The following is a 22,634-nucleotide window of genomic DNA, read 5'->3' as shown; positions in this document are numbered from 1 at the left end:
GGGCCACAGAGCGAGACTCTTGTTTCTAAAAAAAAGAAAAAGAAAGAAAAAGAGGATGCGAAGATCCAGCAACTAGGCTTTGGTGGCCAACAGGTCTCAGTGACCATTCCCTTGTCAGAGCCTGTGCGTTCCCTGTTCCTACTGCCTGGGTCACTTTCCTCCAGATACCTTCACGCCCTCCCCGACCTGAAGCTGCAATCTCCTGGGATGTTCTCTCTCCCTCCCTGCACCGCTTTTCTCCTTGGACCTGGCCACGTTTGGACACACTGAATAGCTTACTTATTAATCTTGTTGATTACCTGTGGAATCCCCCACAAGCAGCAGCTTTCTTTTTCCCATTCAAGACCTTTTGTCCTTTTATTCACTGCTGTATCCGAGTGCACACAGCGAGTCCTCACTCGTTATCTGTTGAATGAATGAATGAACAGAGGAGGCGAGGTCTCCACTGAGACTGACTGGTGGGAAGGGGCCAGCCACAGACAACTTGGGGCACAGTGTGTTAGGCAGAAGGAACAACAGCTGCAAAGCCTCAAGATGAGAGAGGCTTCTATGTTTCAGGATGAAGACAAGTGGGGGGCCCAATGCAGAGATCTGTGCAGATGACATGAGAGAGATGACAAAGTGGGCCTCCTGAGCTGTCCTAGGCAGGGACCTGATGGGGCCTGCCCACCCCCCGTTCCCTCCTCCATGTCACTGGCCCTCTCTCCTTGGCCCTGTTGGCTGCTCCATCTACTCAGCCCCACCCTGGCCCCATTCACTATGGTCCCTGCCATTCTCTGTCTGAAATACCTTCTTGCCCCCTCAATCAGCCCGGCCCCCCTTCCAGGCTGGGCGAGGTGGCTCACGCCTGTAATCCCAGCAGTTTGGGAGGCCAAGGCGGGCTGATCACTTGAGGCCAGGAGTTTGAGACTAGCTTGGCCAACACAGCAAAACCTCATCTCTACTAAAAAGACAAAAAATTAGCCAGGTATGGTGACGGGCACCATGTGGTCCCAACTACTCAGGAGGCTGAGGCAGGAGAATTGCTTGAACCCAGGAGGCGGAGGCTGCAGTGAATCGAGATTGTGCCACTGTAATACAGCCGGGGCAACAGAGAGAGACTGTCTCAAAAAAAAAAAAAAAAAAAGGTCACCTTCCAAAAAGCCTTCCCATCTGAACCCATCCTGACCATTCTCCGAGTCCTAGGAGGCTGGGAGGCTGTCCCTGTCCACCATGGTTTTAAGGGATTTTTTTTTTTTGGAGATGGAGTCTCGCTCTGTCGCCCAGGCTGAAGTGCAGTGGTGTAATCTTAGCTCACTGCAACTGTGTTTCCCAGGTTCAAGCAATTCTCCTGCCTCAGCCTCCCAAGTAGCTGGAATTACAGGTGTCCACCACCATGCCTGGCTAATTTTTTTGTTATTTTTAGTAGAGCTGTGGTTTTCACCATATTGGCCAGGCTGGTCTCGAACTCCTGATCTCAAGTGATCTGCCCACCTCGGCCCCACAAAGTGCTAGGATTATAGGCGTGAGCCACCGCACCCAGCCTGGGATCATTTTATCCTAAGGGGTAAAGGGACCATTTTATCTCAGAGTCCTGAGAATGGTCAAGATGGGTTCAGATGGGGAAGAAACACACCTTAGGATAAAATGATCCATTGAAACCATGGTGGACAGGGACAGCCTCCCAGGCTCATGCATGTCTCCTGGCCTTGATGTGCTGTTTATTAAGCTGTCAGAAAAAATCAGAAGCAACCTAAATGGCCCACAACAGGGGATGGGTGAAGTGTGCTCAGGCCTATGACAAAAGGCTTCCAGTCATTAAAAGGAATAAAAGGGCCGGGCGCTGTGGCTCACGTCTGTAATCCCAACACTTTGGGAGGCCGAGGCGGGTGGATCACTTGAGGTCAGGAGTTTGCGAGCAGCCTGGCCAACATGCCAAAACCCCGTCTCTACTAAAAAAAATTAGCCGGGCATGGTGGTGGGTGCCTGTAACCCCAGCTACTTGGGAGGCTGAGGCAGGAGAACTGCTTGAACTCGGGAGGTGGAAGTTGCAGTGAGCCCAGATAGCGCCACTGCACTCCAGCCTGGGTGACAGAGAAAGACTCCATCTCAAAAAGTAAATAAATAAATAAATAAATGGAGAAAAGACCATTTCATGGCATGGGACTATATGTACAAAGAATCCAAGAGTCAGGTAGAATCTATTAAAAATCCCTATATTTGACAATGTACTCGGAAGGGTTATGGGATTAGTGGTGATTCTTTTTTCTCCTTTTTGTTTATCTGCCTCCTAGGCAGGGTGGATAAGAGGATCAAAGAGAGAAGGAAAGAGGCCCCAGGCATGGTCAGGCGGGAGGGTGGGTCCAGCCCTGTCCTGCTGGTGGAATGTTCCGGTGCTCACCAGGCGTGGGCTCCTCTCCAGCCACCGCAACCTGAGTGGGGAGAGGTACCCCCTAGAGACACGGAATAGTTAGGCCCGGAAAGGCGGGGAGACAGGCAGGTGGGACTAGCTGTGCAACCTTGGGTTTCAGGGTCCTGAGTAGAAAGGACTTTTCTATTCCATCGTCCCGAGGCTTTAAAGCAGGGCCAGGGAGCGGGCTTGGCAAACTCTCAGGTGCTGTGCACTTAAGTGACACACCTGGGAGGAATGTGGAGAAGAGACAAGTTCAGGAGCCCACAGGCTGAGGAGCCCCCCAAGTCCTCAAGTCTAACACCAGAAATGGTCACTGGGGTTGCCACCTAGCCAGAGCGCCACCTCTGAGATGAGGCTTCTCAGGAAAACCTTCTCCACCCCACTAACTTCTAAAGGCCATCCAACCTCAGTCTCCACTCCTGCCTGTCACCAGACCAGCCTCTGAGCCACCCTCCCTGTTCTGCCCTGCTCTGTTCCCTTTTGGCGGGCGCCAGGGTTTAGAGCCGGGCCGCAAAAGGCTTGCTGCCTTGTGGCTGGTTCCCATCCACTTTCTACCCAAGTCTGTGCCTTGCATGTGGAACCAGCCTGAGAGCTCCCTGTGGGCAGCTGATCGACCTGTTTCCTTCCCTCCTCACTGTTCCACTCACCCACGTCTGCACCTGGCCGGCAAAATATTTCTGGGTCTAGGACAGGTGTCCACACACCTGGACACCCACTTGGAAAGAACAGGAGAGCTCTCCACTTGGTGACAGGCCACAAAATCCACACCCTGGCCCGCCTTCCATCTCAAGAGCTCAAGAAAGAGACCAGTGGGGGCAGAGAGAGAGAATAACCACACGGGGTGGACTTGCCTTGGGCCCCCCTCGCTCTAAGTGGCAGATGCGATTGTGCCTCGGAGGAGAGGGGATCCCCAGGCCAGACTGCTTCTCCCACCCTGCCACTGTTTGGGGCACCTGGGCTAATTTGTCCCTGTGAGACCAAGGCTTGGCCAAGCCCAGCCAGCCCTCTGGCCTGGAGATGTGGGAGGGGCCAGCCCTCAAGAAACTCCCTCCATAGCTCGGGAAGTTCCATTGATCTCATTGATCTGCTGGGAGAGTCCACACCCAGCGGCAGGACTCCAGACCCAGCCGAAACCAGAGAGGGCCCCCGGGCCGCACCCAGCGCCAGCTGCCTGCTCTCAGGGCGTGCCACCTGATGTCCCATGCTCTCCTCTCCTCTTCGCTCGTGCTCCCCACAGCCCGCTGCTGATTAAGAAGCTGCCTTCCCCTCTGCGACATCCTGTGTGAGGCCTGAGTGTGGCTGTGGCCTCCTGTTTGACGGATGTGAATCCGCCCCTGCACCTCCTACTCTGATGGCACTGGTGGGCAGGGATCTAAACCACAGAGGCAGCTGCTGACCCCTGCGGCATCTGTGCCAACTCAGACGCCTGTAGCCGCTTTGCAAGTGCCCATGTCGCCCTGGGAAGCCCAGTCTCCCAGAAGCACCAGGCAGGTCCCTGGCCAGCAGCTTAGCAACCAAACCTTGGCTGAAAGGCAGTTCCATGGAGTGGGATCTAGGGGAACACAAACCAGAGGGAATGGGGGCATGACTGGAGGACTGTCGTCCCCGCTGTTGTTAATTAAGTAGTAAAAGGGATTGAGAGCTAGCTATGGCTGGATGTGACTTTAGCACTTTACATTCACCTTATTTAATTCTTACAATTACTTATGAAGTGATCGATTCAGAGTGGCCCCAAGCTCAAACAGTCAAGAGTCCAAGTCCTTTGCCAAGCTCAGTGGCTTATGCCTGTAATCCCAGCACTTTGGGAGGTCGAGGCAGGAGAATCCACTGAACCTAGGAGTTCGAGACCAGCCTGGGCAACTTAGGGAGACCTTGTCTCAGCAAAAAACTTAAAAATTAGCCAGCCATGGTGGCATACACTTGTAGTCCCAGCTACTCAGGAGGCTGAGGTGGGAAGATCACTTGAGCCCAGGAGGTTGAGGCTGCAGTGAGCTATGATGGCACCACTGTGCTCCAGCCTGGGTGACAGAGCGAGACCTTTTCTCAAAAAAAGAAAAAAAAAAATCCAAGCCCCAATTTGCATTCCAATCTGACTGCAGAATCCTCCGCTCAGGTCAGGCCTCTCTCCCAGGACAAAGGGGCTGCCTGCTCGCAGGCTGGATGGGCCCCATTTGGGGTCAGCCTCCATTCCCCCCACCATCTATCCTATGGAATCACAACCATCCCACAACCCCAAGAGGATCCTCCCGCCATGCCTAGACTCCTCCTGAAGTTTCCTTTCTGTTGCCCCTCCTGGGCCTGTGAGGATGGGGTGGAAGGTGGGAACGCACCCCCATTCTGGGGGCCTTAGCCCCCTTTCATAATCCAACACCAGACTCTCTCTCCAGGGAAGTGACTGGCAGAAAGCCAAGTCCAAGGAAAAGCAAAACCATTCTGGGGAGAAGATGGACCACCTGCCTGGGGCTGGCGTGGGCAGGCCATCCAGCCCATCCAATCAGGCCCCTTTCTAGGGCCTCCTACCTGCCCTAAAACTGGAACAGCTGTCCCAAGAAGCTTCCAGATGTCAGCTCCAGGAGGTGGGGATTGTGCTGGCCTCATCCAGGTGCCTCATGGGAGGGACTGGAATTTTATTTAAACAGCTCCCTCACTTCCTTCAAAGCTTTGCTCAAATGTCACCTTCTGGCAGAGGCCCACTCTAACCACCTGTTAAAAGTTGTAACCTGCCCCCTACCATGCGGGTTCCCAATTGTTGCTCTAGTTCTTTTTACCCTATAGCCCGTATCACCTTTTAACACAATTTATTAGTTACTTTTACTTTCTGTCAGTCAGGCTTCTCACCTTTTAGAAACAACTTTCAACGACGGCAGACATCTTTGCTTTGTTTAAGGATCACATCCAACATCTAGAACCACACAAGAGGCATCAGAAAATACTTGAACGGGCTGGGCGCGGTGGCTCATGCCTGCAATCCCAGCACTTTGGGAGGCCGAGGCGGGCAGATCATGAGGTCAGGAGATCGAGACCATCCTGGCCAACATGATGAAACCCTGTCTCTACTAAAAATACAAAAAATTAGCTGGGCATCATGGCGGGCGCCTGTAGTCCCAGCTACTCAGGAGGCTGAGGCAGGAGAATGGTGTGAACCTGGGAGGCGGAGCTTGCAGTGAGCCGAGATCGTGCCACTGCACTCCAGCCAGGGTGACAGAGTGAGACTCCATCTCAAAAAAAAAAAAAAAAAAAAAAAGGGCCAGGTGCGGTGGCTCACGCCTGTAATCCCAGCATTTTGGGAGGCTGAGGCGGGCAGATCACGAGGTCAGGAGATCAAGACCATCCTGGCTAACACGGTGAAACCTTGTCTCTACTAAAAATACAAACAATTAGCCGGGCGTGGTGGCGGGAGCCTGTAGTCCCAGCTACTCGGGAGGCTGAGGCAGGAGAATGGCGTGAACCCGGGAGGCAGAGCTTGCAGTGAGCCGAGATCGCGCCACTGCACTCCAGCCTGGGCGACAGAGCAAGACTCCTCAAAAAAAGAAAAAAAAAGTACTTGAATGAATGAACGAACAGTTAAGACTGACTAGGGATTAACTAGAAAAGGTATCTGCCAATCACTGACCCCACGAAACACTGAGGTAGGACCCCACAGGGTTCTCAGGGAACTTCCTTACCCTGTCCTCAAGTCTCCGGCCAAGGCCAGGGCCCTGTGGACGTCATGCCTGGCATCCTGTTCGGAATACCCTTGTGGACCCTGCCTTTAACCAAAGCTCCAGGACCCCCAGAGAATTCCAGAATTATATTAAATGTTAATATTATTTACTAGAGGGCTGGGCGCAGCGGCTCATGCCTGTAATCCCAGCACTTTGGGAGGCCGAGGCAGGTGGATCACATGAGGTCAGGAGTTAGAGACCAGCCTGACCAACATGGTGGAAACCCCCCCGCTACTAAAAATACAAAAATTAGCCAGGTGTGGTGGCGCATACCTGTAATCCCAGCTACTCAGGAGGCCGAGGCAGGAGAATTGCTTGAACCCGGGAGGCAGAGGTTGCAGTGAGCCAAGATCATGCCACTGCACTGCTGCCTGGGCGACAGAGCGAGACTCAGACTCAAAACAAAAAAACAAAGAAAAAAATTAGCTGGGCGTGGTGGCGGGCGCCTGTAATCCCAGCTACTCGGGAGCCTGAGTCAGGAGAATGGTGTGAACCCAGGAGGCGGAGCTTGCAGTGGGCTGAGATCGCGCCACTGTACTCCAGCCTGGGCAACAGAGCAAGTCTCCGTCTCAAAACAAACAAAAAATTAGCTGGGCATGGTAGCAGCTACTGGGGAGCTACCTGTAATCCCAGCTACTGGGGAGGCTGAGGTGGGAGAATCACTTGAACCTGGGGAGACTGCAGTGAGCCGAAATCATGCCATTGCACTCCAACCTGGGCCACAGAGTAAGACTCCGTCTCAAAAAAAAAAAAAAAAAAAAAGTGTGTGTGTGTGTGTGTGTGTATATATACATATATATAATTTATTACAGTCATATGGTCCTGTGCCCAGATGTCCCTCTCATCAAACTCTGGGAACACTAAGTCAGGTGTCTCGAGAGAAGGCTCCAGTCTCTGCCGAATTCCTGAAGGGTAGAGTCAGGTGCCTTGCAGCCTCCTCGTCCCCACGCCCAGAGCAGCCTCTCCTAGCTCAAGAATTCGCTGTGGTTCCTGGGAAGAAGAGAGGGGTGAGTATTCAAAGCCAGTTTCCTCTGAGAGGCAGGGCTGTGGGGAAGGCCACCCCAAAGGGACCTGAGCAAAGCCATGGCCACGGGCACAGTGAGCGAGGGTCTCCTTGGAATTCCTAGGGAGCCAGGGCTGGGGAGGGCAAACAGTGCTGGTGGCCCCGCTGGGGGACGCCCGTCTCCTGCCCTGTCCCCAGTTTTCTCTCTGCAAACTGCTCCTGACAGAGGAAAACAGCGTTGCCAAGCAGACCTGGCGTGCCTCGCCCCAGGAGGAACCCTGAGAACGATATCACCTAAGACAGATAAGAGGGCCTCTCAGAGTTGAGGATTGAGGACAAATGAGTCCAGGCTGCCAGTGCTGCTCAAAGCAGCCGGCCCAGGAGAAAGAACATTGGTCTCTTGGGCCTCCATTCTGGCCCCCAACTCAGAGGTCTCAACAGCTGCTTTTGACTCATCTGGAAAGACCAGGAAGGCCGAATAGCTCCCCGGGGAAACTAAACTCCTTAGATGGCTCCTGGAGGCTCTTGCCAGAGATGCGCAGATCTCCCACAGTGCGGGCAGGGGCTCATGGGCCACCTGGTCCCAGGCAGCACTTCGTCTTCCAAAGGGAGGGTCCCGGGGCCAGGAAGTCCTGGCAGGAGAGGACATCCTCTCCCCAAGCAAGGTTGAAAGGGGGCACAATGGCATTCCTAGAAAGTCTCCTAATGCCAACAGAGCAGCACAGGCCTGTGCTCTCTGCCCTGCCACCCAGCAGGGTGAGGAGGGTGTACCCAGCAAGCACTCCTCAGCTGGGGCAGAACTCACAGCAGGTTTAATCCTGCACTCTCCGACATCCCCACCACAGGAAAGACTCCCAGGCAACCGGCTCTCACTCTTGGCCCTCCCAAGGAGCAAGGGAAGCATCAAGGGCCACTGGAATGCAAGGTCCATTTAGGAGAAGCCGCGCCCTCCACTGCTGCCCTCAATTCCTGAAAAAGGTCCTCGCTGAAAAACTTCTGACCCCTAGAGACTTTTTTTCTCTTTTTGAGTTAGAGTCTCACTCTGTCACCCAGGCTGGAGTGCAGTGGCGCCATCATAGTTCACTGCAGCCTCAAACTCTTGGGCTCAAGCGATCCTCCTACGATCCCATGTAATTGGGACAACAGGTGCACACCACGATGCCCAGCTAATTTTTTTTTTTTTTTTTGAAATGGAGTCTCGCTCTGTCGCCCAGGCTGGAGTGCAGTGGCGCGATCTCGGCTCACTGCCAGCTCTGCCTCCCGGGTTCACACCATTCTCCTGCCTCAGCCTCCCGAGCAGCTGGGACTACAGGTGCCCACCACCATGCCCAGCTAATTTTTTGTATTTTTAGTAGAGACATGTTTTCACTGTGCTAGCCAGGATGGTCTCGATCTCCTGACCTCGTGATCCGCCTGCCTCGGCCTCCCAAAGTGCTGGAATTACAGGCGTGAGACACCGCGCCTGGCTGATGCCCAGCTAATTTTTTAAAAAAATTTTTGTAGAGACGCGATCTCACTGTTGCCCAGGCTGGTCTTGAACTCCTGGGTTCAAGCAATCCTCCCTCCTCCACCTCCCAAAGCACTGGGATTACAGGCATGAGCCAAAATGCCCAGCCAGAGACTTTAAAATATCACAAATTCATGAGCCGTCAGCTGATTTCCAGAGAAGACAAATTCCCTAAACCCATCAGGCACTTCCAAAAGGCCCAAGTGCCCACCCAAAGGCCTGGGACAGACGGATGCCTCTTATGCTTCATGGAAGTTGAGTCCACCCTCACTGGGTGCCTGCTGTGTGGCAGGCCACACGTGCTAGTGACCTTTCTCATCTTCTCATCTGTGAAAACAAAGCTCAGCACGGGTCAGTGACCACACTAGGGTCACACAGCAAGGACTCGGCAAAGAACGAGTCAAAACTACACCTGAAGCCTAGAAAGACACTAAAAATCTTTTTTTAAAAATTATTATTATTATTAGTTTGAGACGGAGTCTTGCTCTGTCACCAGGCTGGAGTGCAGTGGCGCGATCTCGGCTCACTGCAACCTCCGCCTCCTGGGTTCCAGCGATTCTCCTGCCTCAGCCTCCTGAGTAGCTGGGATTACAGGCACGCACCACCACGCCCAGCTAATTTTTGTATTTTTAGTAGAGATGGGGTTTCACCATCTTGGCCAGGATGGTCTCGATCTCCTGACCTCATGATCCGTCTGCCTCGGTCTCCCAAAGTGCTGGGATTACAGGCGTGAGACACAGAGCCCGGCCTAATTTTTTTTTATTTTTTGTTTTTAAAGAGATGAAGGATAGAAGGATGAAGGATGAAGATAAAAGGACTGGCAGGGGCCGGGTGCAGTGGCTCATGCCTGTAATCCCAGCACTTTGAGAGGCTGAGGCAGGCAGATCACTTGAAGTCAGGAGTTCAAGACCAGCCTGGCCAACATGATGAAACCCTGTCTCTACAAAAAATACAAAAATACAAAAATTAGCTGGGCCTGGTGGTGCCTGCCTGCAATCCCAGCTACTCAGGATGCTGAGGCAGGAGAACTGCTTGAACCTGGGAGGCAGAGGTTGCAGTGAGCTGAGATCACGCCACTGTGCTCCATCCTGGGCGACAGAGGAGACTTCGTCTCAAAGAAAAAAAAAGAAAAGGACTGTCAGGCAGGAGGGATAATTTTTTGCTCTCTTTTTTTTTGAGACAGTCTCACTCTATTGCCCAGGCTGGAGTGCAATCGCACGATCTCGGCTCACTGCAACCTCTGCCTCCTGGGTTCAAGCGATTCTCCTGCCTCAGCCTCCTGAGTAGCTGGGATTACAGGCGCTCACCACCACGCCTGGCTAATTTTGCATTTTTAAGTAGAGACCGGTTTCACTGTGTGGGCAAGGCTAGTCTCGAACTCCTGACCTTGTGATCCGCCTGCTTCCGCCTCCCAAAGTGTTGGGATTACAGGCATAAGCCACCTTGCCCGGCCTAATTTTTTGCTCTCTAATTTTACACTTTCTACAATGTTTCCTTTTTCCCACTATGGGCTCCTATTGCCTTTTCTATTTTTTAAATGAACAGCGATCACCTGGGATTATGGGCCATTTTTTGTTTGTTTGTTTGTTTTGAGATGGAGTTTTGCTCTTGTTGCTCAGGCTGGAGTGCAATGGCGTGATCTTGGCTCACCGCAACCTCCACCTCCCAGGTTCAAGCGATTCTCCTGCTTCAGCCTCCTGAGTAGCTGGGATTACAGGCATGTGCCACCATGGCCAGCTGATTTTATATGTTTAATAGAGACAGGGTATCTCCATGTTGGTGAGGCTGCTCTCAAACTCCTGACCTCAGGCGATCGGCCCAACTTGGCCTCCCAAAGTGCTGAGATTACAGGTGTAAGCCACCACGCCTGGCCTTTTTTTCTTTTAATGTTGCGGTATATTAAAAAGTTATTTAAGGCCGGGCGCGGTGGCTTACGCCTGTAATCCCAGCACTTTGGGAGGCTGAGAGGGGCAGATCACGAGGTCAGGAGATCGAGACCATCTTGGCTAACACAGTGAAACCCCATCTCTACTAAAAATACAAAAAATTAGCCGGGCGTGATGGCAGGCGCCTGTGGTCCCAGCTACTCGGGAGGCCGAGGCAGGAGAATGGCGTGAACCCAGGAGGAGGAGCTTGCAGTGAGCCGAGATCTCGCCACTGCACTCCAGCCTGGGTGACAGAGCGAGACTCTGTCTCAAAATAAATAAATAAATAAATAAAAATAATAAAAAGTTATTTATACTAACGGGTCTGGCGTGGCAGTTCATGCCTGTAATCCTAACACTTTGGGAGGCAGGAGGATCACTTGAGCCCAGGAGTTCAAGACTAGCCTGGGCAACATGGCAAAACCCCCTTTCTAAAAAAAAAATAGAAAATTAGCTGTGCATGGTGCTGCGCGCTTGTAGTCCCAGCTACTCAGAAGGCTGAGGTGGGAGGATCACTTGAGCCTGGGAGGTCGAGTCTGCAGTGAGCCTCCATCTCCCAGTGATTGCACCACTGCACTCCAGCCTGGGTGACAGAGCAAGACTCTGCCTCAAAAAAAGAAAAAAAAAAAGTTACTAACAGCTGGGCACAGTGGCTTACACCTGTAATCCCAACGCTTTGGGAGGCTGAAGTGTGAGGGTCACTTGAGTCCAGGAGTTTGAGACCAGCCTGGGCAACATATGGTGAGATCCCATCTCTACAAATTAAAAAACATATTATTAAAGAAAAAAAGAATTTGGTCAACTTAGTTTAAAAAAAAGAAAAAAAAAGAGAAAAAAGTTACTTTTTTCTATTTTATTTCTTATTTATGAATGTAGTGTCATTTTAATATAATTAAAAGCATATTAATCTGACACCAAAGGGGAAACTCCCTTGCCTCAAGGAAGAATGGGGATGCCAAATGACCCTGGACCCCGGAAACCCTGTCCAGGAGCCCCCACAAAGATGGGCCCAGTCTAACTTCAGAGGAAAGGAGTGAACTCTGATTAGAAGCTTAAGAGCTGAGTTTGAGTTCTGTCTGCCACAGCTAGCACTGTGGGAAGATCGCCTAAGAAAACTAAACCCCAAATCCCAGTTCATAAAATAAAGCTGAGACATCTCTCGCACAGTTCTCCTTGTGCCTCTGCTCACACAGACCCAGACAGTTTTCCTCAAATGCCACTTTTTTTTTTTTTTTTTGAGACAGGGTCTCACTCTGTCCCCAGGCTGGAGTGTGGTGGCGCCATCATGACTCACTGCAACCTCCACCTCCTGGGCTCAGGCAATCCTCCCACCTCAGGCTCCTGAGTAGCTGGGACTACAGGTGCACGCCACCATGCCTGGCTAACTTTTTTTATTATTTGCAGAGACGAGGTCTCACTATGTTGCCCAGGCTGGTCTCAAACTCCTGGGCTCAGGCGATCCTCCTGCCTTGGCTTCCCAAAGTGCTGGGATTACAGCTGTGAGCCAATGCACCCAGCCTCAACTGCCACTTCTGACCTTGGCTTCCCCCGGGCTGGGCCACAGCTCTTCTGTGGCAGCTCTGCTCTTCCTACCAGCGTTTCCTTGTCACCTTGACACACCCATTCCCTCCCTGCCCGCTCCCTGCTCAGAATCCTCTCTGTAGCCCCTTCAAGAGAACTCAAGGTTCTCTTGAACTACAAACTCCAGCAGGGGGTCCCTGGAGCCCAGGTTAAGGCTGCCGGCAGTCGCATACGGATCCCCAGGGGAAGGGGCGCCCTCCTCACTCAAAGCTCACCTGTTCAGGTGAGAGCCTCAAAGCGCCACTCTACAGCTCCCCTGGTTAGGTCAGTTCTCCCCACAGCCAAGGCCCAGCGTGTCCACCAATCGTCCAGCCGGAACAAACTAAGACACACTTTCTTTGGCAAGATAGAATTTTCCACTTCTCGCCAAATCCCACAGCGCAAACCCCGCCCGTCAGCATGGAGGGCAGACTGGGTCTCCGCACTGTCATGTGAAGGTGTCCAAAGCCGCCCCAGCTGGAGAAAGGCCGGAGACCGAAGTCCCTCCCGCGGGCTTCCTGCGTCCGGGGATTAGGAGGCACAAAGGGCCGGCAGGGACACAGCCCAGATGGCAGGGGCAGGGGCTAAGCCGCCGGGGCACCGCGCTCCGGCCGCCGCCCGTGGGGAGGGGGTCACCGCAGACGCGCGTCGCCAACCCCGCTGGCCTGGCGCCTGCACGTGGGCCCGGGGACTCCGTCTCTGCCCGCGGTGCCCCCCGCACCCAGCCGGCCGGGGCACCTGTTCTCCTGCTCTCCTAAGCCAACATTATTGTGCAAACCCAAGCCCAAGTTTCAGTCATCGCGCAGATCAGGCAGAGAAGTTTCCCGCAGAACTTTCTACAGGTGTCTCTCTTCCAGGCCAGCACAGCGACGCGGACAGGGGCGAGGCGCGCGGACCTGGGCGCAGCCCTCCCGCCCTGGCCCGACAGCCCAGGGGTCCTGGGCCTCCCTGGCCTCCCCGCCCCAGGTGGAAGCCCCGAGGGGGCGGGCCCGGCTGGGCGAGTCCGGCACGCATCTCACCTGGAACCCCGGGCCAGCCCCCGCCCGAGGCCTCGGCGTCCCTCGGCGCCCGCCGCCGGCCCCGCTCGCTCCGCCGCGCCTGCCCACGGGCTGCTGGGCGGCCGTCTCCTTCCTGCTCACCTCCGGCGCGGCGAGCCTGGGGCGGAGCCGCGCTATTTACATAAAGGGCGAGCCTGCCGGGGCCCAGCGCCCCGCCCCCGGCCCGCCCCCCAGCTCGGCGCCGCAGGGGCGGGGGCACCCTCGGGGGTGGGGGCTGCGCTCCTGCCAATCCGCGGCCCCGGGAAGCGCGGGGCGGGGCCTCGCGAACGGCCTCGGGGTTCCGCAGGCCCGCCCCGGCCTCACCTGCGCGCACCTGGACGCAGAACGGCGCGCCGCGCCCAGTGTCCCGCCGCCTCCCGCAAGCGGAAATAGTTCCCGGAACGCCTGCGGTCCCGGGCCGCCTCCCAGACTCCAGGGGAGCCGTCCCTCCAACTCCCGGGAGCTGCCGAGGGAGGGGCGGATCCGGGCCAGCTCCTCTGCCAGAGCCCAGCCCAGAGAGGGTGACCGGGGGACGCAGGGCCGGGTTTCCAGCCCCACGAGAGGGATGGTGTAGGGACCGGGGCGTCGCGGCGAGACGCCTTTCCTCGGGGGGGGGTGCGGGGGGGCGCCCACCTCCTCCGTGTCGGCCGGAGGGTCTGCAACAGCGGGTGGAATTTTTAGCACAAGCGAGGGAGGAGGTTGGAGCGACGAGAGGCGGGAGCGGAAAGGGCGCGGAGGCCGGGGCTGCAGCGCGCTCCACCGCCCAGCTGCAGGTGGCGCCTCTCGCCACCCGCACCCCGCTGCGCCCAGGGAAGGGCCGATGGCGCGCCGTCCTCCCTCCTCCCTTCGGGAAGCCTGCGACGTCCCATCCCCTCCGACGCAGGCCCGGGAAAGGCTCAAAAGGTTCGAGGTCGCGTTCCTGCTATCCCGCGGGCTTCTCTCACTCTTAGATCCCGCACCAGAGGAAGCGGATCTCCTTGAGTGGGCAAAGCAGGGGTGAGGGGCTGGGGGCAGTTCCACTGACAACGGGACGGGGGCGAGAGGGGTTTACCCAGTACATACAGAAACAGCAGAAAAGAAATCTATTTTTAATGGCTTTGGCTTTATAGCACGAAGCAGGCACCCTCTCGTTAAAGGCACACAGTCCTCTCTTCTGCCCCACCTCCTGGGTCCTTAAAATCGAGTCCTGAGTTCCAGAGGGGTCACTGCAAGGCAGCAGGGAAGGGAGAGGGTCACAGTTTCACTCTGTGAGTATCAGACACCCAGGGCCAAGGCCCAGACTGGCCTCTGAAGCTACAGGTTAGAGTCTGGGTACAGGAGGCAGCCGAGATGGTCCCTGAGAACAGACAGTCCCGGTCCCCCGGAGCAAGCTCCATCCTCTGCAGAGCTGTGAGGTCAGTGCCCCACATCCTGGGGCAACGTGAAGTCCCTGAAGCTGTAGAAGGAGATGTCACCATGATCCACCAGGGCAAAGATCAGAGGGACATCCCCACTCTGGTAAGACAACCGCTTGAGGCTGCAGAGGTCTGGGACAGGCTCATCAAATCTGCAGGGACAAAGGGTTAGAGTGAGACCCAGCCATAGCCCACTCCTAAGCTCTAGGGCTCCCAGAGAAGAGATTCTACGGAAGGAGTTGGGGTGCAAGAATTCTGACCCATGAGTTCTGTCTCCAAAACACAGGGCTCTGATGAAGAGCGCCCCAGAGCACTGGTTGGGGAGGTGCTAGGAAGAGCAAGGTGCTCACCACTCTTAGCCTGTAAATCCCCACAATCCACATCCCTTCTGCTGGGTGAGTCCTAGACTAAAATGGCATTGGAGAAAGACTACCCTAAAATGCCAGCAACGAGGAGCTCAGAGTAGGGCAGCACAAACTGGCTGTGTGGCCTTGTGTAGGTCACTTAGCCTCTCTGGACCTCCTGTTCCTCTCAGAGATTGGCACGCTGGCCAGGGGAGTACAGAGGAGTCCCACTTGGTTCACAGGAGAACTGGCAGCAGCTGGGGGAGGGGCAGTGCTGGCTCACTGCGTACCCACTAATGCACATCCGGGCATAGGGTTTGCCAGGGTTATTCTTTCGGAATGTGGCCACAGCGTCGGCCTGGTAAACATCAAAGATGATTTCCAAGCCCCCAGACTTCTCCAACAGCCTGACAATACAATGAGAAACGTTATGACATGAACTCTTCTCCCCAACCTTTCTTTTCCATCCCACCCTTTCCCTCCACCAGTTCCAGGAAGCAGCCTCACAGAGGTGCCACTTGAGGGTTGGGGGCTCTGAACCCTTGGGCTAACCCACTGGTTATTCTCCCTCTTCCCTAGACACACACGAACACTAGTTATTGCTCAGAGCTAGGCGTAGGGGTAGGAGTCCCTGGAACAGTCCTCTAGTTTACACCCTACTTCAGGAGCCAGTTCCTAACCACCAACTCCTGGCGGTCAAGGTACTGCAGAGACGGCACTGCTTGGAAACTTACCGGGCACCTCCATCAGGAAGGTGTGTTGTCTGCAGCACAGAGATATGCTGAAGGACCACGGCTACAAGGACACAGAAAACAAGGTACTGGGGAGGGGAGTCACATTTCTCAGTCTGCCATCTAGTTTAGGACGGCCAGATTTAGCAACTTTTTTTTTTAAACGGAGTCTCACTCTGTCACCCAGGCTGGAGTATAGTGGCGTGATCTTGGCTCACTGTGACCTCTGCCTCCCAGGTTCAAGCAATTCTCCTGTCTCAGCCTCCTGAGTAGCTGGGATTATAAGTGTGCACCACCACACCCGGCTAATTTTTGTATTTTTAGTAGAGATGGTTTCACCATGTTGCCCAGGTTGGTCTCGAACTCCTGACCTCAGGTGATCTGCCCGCCTCGGCCTCCCAAAGTGCTGGGATTACGGGTATGAGCCACCGTGTCCAGCCTAGCAACATTTTTTTTTTTTTTTTAGTATAAGCATATCCCATGCAATTTTTGGAACATATACTGAAAAATTATACTGAAAGTCAAATCAAACTGATCTGGCAACCCTATCTAGTTACCTACAATCTACCGTGTTCCCATAAAGGCTTTAAGTAATTTGGAATCCGTTAACACATTTAGCTTATTCTTTCCCCATTGGTTCCCTGGGCTTAGAGCAGACAGCAAGCCTTTCTTTCACTTGGCCAAGAAGGCACCTCCTTTTCCCATCTAACAGGTTGGGATCACAGCTAGTTGGTGGCAAAGCCATCCACATGCATGTTGTTTATCTTTTTAAGGATATGGTCATAGTTTCCACCCCTCCTTACCTCTCCTGACTCACCATCTCTAAGCCTTCCCACACAGGCCCTGCTGCAGCCGCCGGAGAACTGACCGTGCTTGTGGGTCCACTCCCTCCTCCCACATCTTCCTTAAGCCTCAATCCATCCCAGTTCATCCATGCCCTTTCCAAAGTCCTGTGATTCCTCAGCTGCCAGTGGCCCTCGAAGATGTGGCAGGCTGAGGGGGTACCTGGGGAGCTGGCCTGGCCAGGACTCAGCAGCGGGGTGACGGGCTGGCCCCACAGGTGAGGGGCCCGGCGCTGGCTCCTCTGCACCTGCCGCCGCTGCAGCAGCTCCTTGTACTCCCGCCAGCTGGAGCACCGCTGCACCTCGGGATCGGCGTTGACATCTTCCTGGAACTGCGCGGCCTCCGCGTGGTGCTCCCGTTCCCGCCTGGAGAGCTTCTCCTTGCGCTGGTTCAGCTTCTGGCACCAGGACTCAGCGTCTGTCTCCCGCCCAGCCACGTTGGCCGGGAGCAGCTCTGGGGCTGGGGCGCGCAGAAGGGTGTGGCGGCTGTCTGAAGCCATGTTGGGGAAGGAGATCTGCTCGAAGTTCCAGCGCCGCTTACCGGCTCCCGTGACTCCGTTCTCGGCTCTGCCACTCTCCCAGCTGCACCCCACCCCCTCCCTGGCCGGGCCAGGGCTGGGGCCCAGGGACCCCAGAAGCTGAAAGGGGCCCCCTGGGCCCTTCATGGGGCTTGACTCCTGGGGTTTCTCCTCTGGGCATTGGCTGGGCTGGCTGCAGGGAGGTGGGCTGGAGGCTGCCAGACTCTTGGGTTGCAGGGAGTTGTCCAGGGCCTTGGCCTTCTTATTAATGGACCTGAGGGACGTGGGGGAAAAGCAGCACATCTGCCCCTGGTTGCTAAGGTGCACACGTCCCATGGGAGCTGAAGGCAGGTCCCCTAGTGTCTCCCTGAGCCTGCATGGGAGCTGCTGGTTCTTAGAAAGCCTGTGCATTTTCCAAGGTCCCAGACACCAGCACTCCCTGGGGGGCCACCGTGATGTGGGAGTTACCGAGGGCTGGAGCTGCTCCTCTTTCTCTTGCCATCTCCATCCTCCAAGTGCTGCACGCTGGCATCCAGGTTAAGCTGCCTCTCATACGGGGACAGGACAGAGCTGTGGGGTGAGAACAGCGGGTGGGCCACTGACCCACCTCCTCAGCCTGGGGATCTGGTGGGATGTGTAAGGAAACGGGCCAAGAGGACAGTCAGTGGGCCAGGATCGGAGCCACACCCAAGTGCTAAGGCCCTAAGCAGACCCCCATGAGGGGTACAGGCCCAGCCAGGGGGCCCAGCCATGTGCCTCTGCCTAGGCAATGGCCCAGAGGAGCTAGCAAACTTGGTAAATATAGAAAAATAAAAACCTTGGATAACTATTGTTAACATCTTTCTTTCGTTTATGTACACACTAATCTCTCTCCATATATTTTTTTCTAACAAAAATGTCATTGTACTAGCATACTGCTTTGTGATCTTTTTTTTCACTCAATAATATATTGTGGACACAGCCCCGTCACTGCAGCATTCTTCCCTGCTGTGAATTTTTTCCTTTTTCTTTTTTTTTTTTTTTTGAGACACAGTCTCGTTCTCTCACCGGGCTGGAGTGCAGTGGCACAATCTTGGCTCACTGCAACCTCCATCTCCTGGGTTCAAGCGATTCTCCTGCCTCAGCATCCCGAGTAGTACCGGGACTACAGGCGCGTGCCACCATGCCCAGCTAATTTTTGTATTCTTAGTAGAGACAAGGTTTCACCATGCTGGCCGGGATGGTCTCCATCTCCTGACCTCATGATCCACCTGCCTCGGCCTCCTAAAGTGCTGGGATTACAGGTGTGAGCCACTGTGCCTGGCCTCCTGGCTGTGAATTAAGGCTTTAAGGCAATGCTGTTCAAAAAAGAGCCACTAGCGACAGGTGGCTATTTAAGTTTGCTTTTTTTTTTGAGATAGAGTTTCGCTTTTTCGCCCAGGCTGGAGTGCACTGGCAAGATCTCGGCTCACTGCAACCTCAGCTGCCCAGGTTCAAGCAATTCTCGTGCCTCAGCCTCCTGAATAGCTGGGACTATAGGCGCCTGCCACCACACCTGGCTGATTTTTTTTTTTTTTTTTTTTTGGTATTTTAGTAGAGACAGGGTTTCACCACGCTGTCCAGGCTGGTCTCGTACTCCTGAGCTCACGCGATCCGCCCGCGTCGGCCTCCCAAAATGCTGGGATTATAGGCGTGAGCCACCACACCAGCCTATTTAAGTTAGATTTAAATACATTTAAATTAAATGAAATTAAACATTCAGTCCCACAGTTGCTCTAGCCCCATGTATTAGACATCACAGACACAGAACATTTTCATCATTACAGAAAGTTCTATTGGACAGAGCTGCTCTAAGGGATAACCTCTCATTTGTGTGAGCCTGCCTCTTGTTCAACTCTTGTTTGCAAGTACACTGATTTTGCACAGTGAGTGTGTTCTGTGTGACTCCTCACTAAATGCAAGCTCTGTGAGGGCAGTGATTTTGCTCTTCTGTTCTCAGCGATGTGTACAGGGCCTGACCCCCAGCAAATAATAAATATCGTTGATCATTCTCACAGGTGAACCACTGTACACGTCCACGATTATTTCCTTAGGATAGGTTCCACTTTCAGAAAAGAAAAGATGTAGAGCTGGGCGTGGTGACTCATGCCTGTAATCCCAGCACTTTGGGAGGCTGAGGCGGGAGGATCATTTGAGGTCAGGAGTTCGAGACCAGCCTGGGCAACACAGTGAAACCCCATCTGTACTAAAAATAAAATAAAATAAAAAAATTAGCCAGGCATGGTGGCACACGCCTGTAATCCCAGCTACTTGGGAGGCTGAGGCAGGAGAACTGCTTGAACCCAGGAGGCAGAGGCTACAGTAAGCTGAGATCATGCCACTGCACTACAGCCTGGGCGACAGAGTGAGACTCCGTCTCAAAAAGAAAAGAAAAGATGTGCCTGCTTTAGAGCTTTTGTGACATACTGTAACTGCAAAAGCTGTACCCGTTTCCACTCCAAGTCTGAAGGTCTCTGCCTTTTACCAATGCTGGATTACTAAGGTGATGAAGGAAAAAACATTTAACCTGGCATGAAAAATGTGAAACCCTACTAATGGTAAATTCTTCACCCAGTCCTTCATTTAAGCATACACTCTACATACCTGCCTGCGCACCTACTAAGTGCCAGGCACTGTTCCAATCCTGCCTCTCAGTGCTCACACACACTCAGCTGCAGGCGCAGGTCATCTGAAGATGCGGCTCGAGTTCATAAACCAGAATAAAACAAAATGACCTGGATTCCTCCCAACCTGCCTCTCTCAGAACGCTTCCAGCAGGCGCCCCCAGTCTGTGCCCAAGGAACTGCACTCCAGCCAAGGGTTCCAGGTAAGGAGAGGCCATTTTCTACCTTAGACTAGTCAGCCAGGTCCCAGGACTAGAATATATGGAAGGGGAACAGGAAGGGGATTTACCTTGGTTGGAATCGTCGAACCACATAACCCAACCTCTTCAGGTGGCTGAAGACCTCAAAAGAAAAAAAAAAAATGAAAGCTCAGATGGCCACTCTGGAAAACACCAAATGGTTTCTCCAGACACAGGCCATCCCCACAGCCCTCTCTGCCCCTCCTGTACACCCCCAGATTCTAAACCCTGTGATTAAGGTTGGACCATGCTTCATTACGAACACCATCCCTAAAGATCTCAGGCTCTGAATTCCTGTCCTCCCACTTACCTTACTCGGCACAAATGACATTTAGCCAAATCCAAAAAAACTGATAGCCATGAAACCAGAAAACCACCACGCCCTGAAATACTTGAGTATTTTGATACAAAGCTCATAGGAGTGAAGCTGCCGATCACCATGTGAACAAAATGATGGCAGGTGGTGGGCATCTCTCCAGCCCCACACCTCCACAGATGCCGGTGGGAAGTTTCTGGTAGGGAGCCACATATTCAACCTTGTGTCCCTGCATTCATATCAGAGGAACATAGATAAGAATGTCCCCCATCCTGCTTGATCTCAGCAGGCTTTAGCACAGCTAACCACTTCCTCCTTGAAAGACCTTCTTTTGGCTTCTGTGATGCGACTTTGGTTTTTCTCCTGCATCACCAGACACTCCTCGGTCTGTTTCTGCTTCTTATCTGCCCCCTAACCTACACAGAGAGCCCCAGGGCTCAGACCCAGCCCTCTACTCTGATGGCACTCCCATACAGCCCAGTAGTTTAAATACCATCCATGTGCTCATGGCACCCATATTTACATCTAGCCTTGACCTCTCCTCACACTCCAGACTTGGATTCCAATTGTCTGTCTGCTTTACACTCACTTGGATGTCCAAGAAGCTCCTCAAAATTAACTTATCTGACACAGTTCTTTCGACTGGTCTTGTCCTCCCAAATCTGCTCCTCTTCATTCTTCCCACTCAGAAAATGACAGCACCTTCATCCACTGGTGCATGCCCAAATCATGGGCGGTAATCCTGGGTTCTTCTCTCTCCTTAATCCTGACATCCAATCCATTGGCAGTCCTATCCATTCTTTCTCCAAAATATTTCTGAGATTCATCTATTTTTCACTCACTGCAACTCTACCCACCCCCAACCTGCGACAAGCCCCTAGCTTCTCTCACCTGAATGAACAGCCCAGTCTCTTTGGATTCTCTTCCCCCACCTTATCTTCTGACAGCACTGGGGTCTATGTGAAGCCAACAGGCCACCACCACAATGTAAGCCTCGTGACAGCATAGCCCTCGTCTGCCCTGCAGCCCCAGCATGTGACACTGTGCCTGGCACCTTATGGGTACTTGTCAATACTCATTGATTCAGTGGATGGGTGGCTCCCGGAGGCGGGGTGGTGGCAGATACCTGGTACTGCAGGAAGGTCACAGTGTGGTCGGTCAGCAGCAGCTGGTAAGCTTCCTGGATAGACAGTGGCAGGTCTTGGTGGAAGAGGTGGATGGAGCCCTGGAAGTGGGGCCAACAGCTCAGCTTATGAGCCCTCACTACAGTGCCACAGAGGAATGGGGCAACTTCCCAGCTCTGATACCTCCCCCTCCCCCTCTCAGCAGCGCATCAAGAATGTGGCCAACCAGGAAAGTGGGGCAGCATCACTAATGTGGACTGGAATCCCTGCTCCCTGCAACGTACCACCTCCTGCTTTAGAAGTTTGGTTATCAGTTCTCTAAAGACCGGGTTGTGTGTGCTTTTTCTCCGATAAAACGTGTCCTTCCCGTTCTTTGGTCCCAACTCCTTCCCCACCTCCCGGGCCCCACTTACACACTCCAGAAGATACAAGGCCTCTTCCGGGTGAAGGCGCTGCCGGCCCTGCTCTGAGAAGCCCATGGTCTGCCAGAATTTGCCCTGTGTGGGGCCCAGAGCAAGTGTCACAAGGGAGGGAGGGCAGGGAGGGCAGGGAGGGCGGTCCCCGGTCCCCGAGCCCGCCGCTCACCGCGGGAGACTTCAACTCCACGAAGCCCTCTTCTGGCCTCCACTCGGCAGCCACCAAGCTGCCCCTGGCGAGGAGTGGGGAGGGGTCTGCGTCAGTCCATTCCGGAGACCCCGCGGCCCGCCTCGCCCCCGCTTCCCTTACCCCTGGGCCCGCCCCTCTCACAGGCGCTCCACGCGCTGCTCTGCCAGCAGCTGCCAGAGCTCTTCCCGGCACCGGCGCAGCCGCTCGGCCTGAGCTGCCGAGCCGTCGGGCAGAAAGTCCTTGGGGCCATGCGAGCGCTGGGGCAGCTTCTGCGACCGCGAGCGGGCGGCGAAGAGCTCCCGGGCGCTGGGGGAGAAGGGGACGCGGGGTCAGCGCCGCGCATCGGGGGCCGCCTGGCCGGGTCCCGGGCGCCGGTTTCCCTACCCGCGCTGGCCCCGCGCCCCCGACACCCACTCCGGCCGGGCCGCGCCGCACCTGAGCACGCGCCCCGCGGGAACCTCCACGGCCGCGGGCTCGGGCTCGGGCTCCATCCCGCCGCCGCCTGCCGCTGCGCGCGCCGCCACGCCCCGCCCACCGCCGGAGCTCCGCGCTGCCCTAGTGCCCGCCGATCCGCAATGCCGCGGCAGCCCCGCCCCCTGCACCGCCCCAGCCCGCTCTGCGCCCTCCTGATTGTCCCCGGTCCTAGCGCCCGCCCGGAAGCGCACCCCGACGCCGGGTCTGGGAGCTCAGCCCGCAGGTTGCTGGAGATGCAGAAGGCCCCTCTTTTGCCCCTAGCCCTCCTCGGGGCTT

The 22,634-nt window shown here is 54.7% G+C and overlaps 2 protein-coding genes across 30 annotated transcripts in view, besides 6 other annotated features; both read right to left on the bottom strand.

Moving 5' to 3' along the window:
• LLGL2 (LLGL scribble cell polarity complex component 2) overlaps positions 1-13,934 on the bottom strand; it is a 50,208-nt gene extending 36,274 nt beyond the window's left edge. For 10 of the 29 annotated variants that reach the window (XM_047435973.1, XM_047435980.1, XM_047435988.1 and 7 more), the window contains exon 1: positions 13,111-13,239. The gene's annotated coding sequence lies outside the window, so the exon portion shown is untranslated. The other 19 variants (XM_047435986.1, XM_047435975.1, XM_047435981.1 and 16 more) reach the window with 15 other exon arrangements.
• Positions 13,034-13,753: a silencer, noted in NCBI's record as "silent region_8972". NCBI's record gives its function as "represses an Ori minimal core promoter by ATAC-STARR-seq in GM12878 lymphoblastoid cells {active_cell/tissue: GM12878}" and the evidence as "EXISTENCE:reporter gene assay evidence [ECO:0000049][PMID:35858748]".
• Positions 13,533-13,717: a silencer, noted in NCBI's record as "fragment chr17:73521300-73521484 (GRCh37/hg19 assembly coordinates)". NCBI's record gives its function as "represses an EF-1alpha promoter that drives an FKBP-Casp9 reporter gene in an ReSE screen in phorbol 12-myristate 13-acetate-treated (for megakaryocytic differentiation) K562 erythroleukemia cells {active_cell/tissue: K562(+PMA)}" and the evidence as "EXISTENCE:reporter gene assay evidence [ECO:0000049][PMID:32094911]".
• Positions 13,774-13,873: a silencer, noted in NCBI's record as "silent region_8971". NCBI's record gives its function as "represses an Ori minimal core promoter by ATAC-STARR-seq in GM12878 lymphoblastoid cells {active_cell/tissue: GM12878}" and the evidence as "EXISTENCE:reporter gene assay evidence [ECO:0000049][PMID:35858748]".
• Positions 14,201-22,408, bottom strand: TSEN54 (tRNA splicing endonuclease subunit 54). Its single transcript, NM_207346.3, has 11 exons — positions 22,320-22,408; positions 22,026-22,190; positions 21,864-21,927; positions 21,692-21,775; positions 21,281-21,379; positions 19,889-19,941; positions 17,426-17,527; positions 16,603-17,231; positions 15,601-15,661; positions 15,157-15,273; positions 14,201-14,674 (listed from the first exon to the last, which is right to left on the bottom strand). Exons 1-11 carry the CDS (start codon positions 22,373-22,375, stop codon positions 14,524-14,526), a joined length of 1,581 nt encoding a protein of 526 aa, NP_997229.2. The 5' UTR covers positions 22,376-22,408; the 3' UTR covers positions 14,201-14,523.
• Positions 22,170-22,549: a silencer, noted in NCBI's record as "silent region_8970". NCBI's record gives its function as "represses an Ori minimal core promoter by ATAC-STARR-seq in GM12878 lymphoblastoid cells {active_cell/tissue: GM12878}" and the evidence as "EXISTENCE:reporter gene assay evidence [ECO:0000049][PMID:35858748]".
• Positions 22,170-22,628: a biological region, named in NCBI's record as "Sharpr-MPRA regulatory region 12010".
• Positions 22,334-22,628: an enhancer, noted in NCBI's record as "tiled region #12010; HepG2 Activating DNase unmatched - State 1:Tss, and K562 Activating DNase matched - State 4:PromP". NCBI's record gives its function as "activates a minimal TATA promoter and a strong SV40 promoter by Sharpr-MPRA in HepG2 and K562 cells {active_cell/tissue: HepG2 | K562}" and the evidence as "EXISTENCE:reporter gene assay evidence [ECO:0000049][PMID:27701403]".

The sequence above is a fragment of the Homo sapiens genome, chromosome 17 (genome assembly GCF_000001405.40).
Source record: "Homo sapiens chromosome 17, GRCh38.p14 Primary Assembly".
Taxonomy (NCBI): Eukaryota; Metazoa; Chordata; class Mammalia; order Primates; family Hominidae; genus Homo; species Homo sapiens.
This window is presented reverse-complemented; position numbering and strand designations above follow the sequence as displayed.

Bases quoted from the DNA above. Each gene is read 5' to 3' on its own strand.
- TSEN54 (NM_207346.3), bottom strand. From the start codon at position 22,375: ATGGAGCCCGAGCCCGAGCCCGCGGCCGTGGAGGTTCCCGCGGGGCGC. The intron at 15,274-15,600 runs GTAAGTTTCCAA...TTGTATTGTCAG, and splicing joins CTTCCTGATGGAGGTGCCCG to GCTGTTGGAGAAGTCTGGGG. The intron at 14,675-15,156 runs GTACGCAGTGAG...TTGTCCCTGCAG, and splicing joins GCCCGGATGTGCATTAGTGG to ATTTGATGAGCCTGTCCCAG.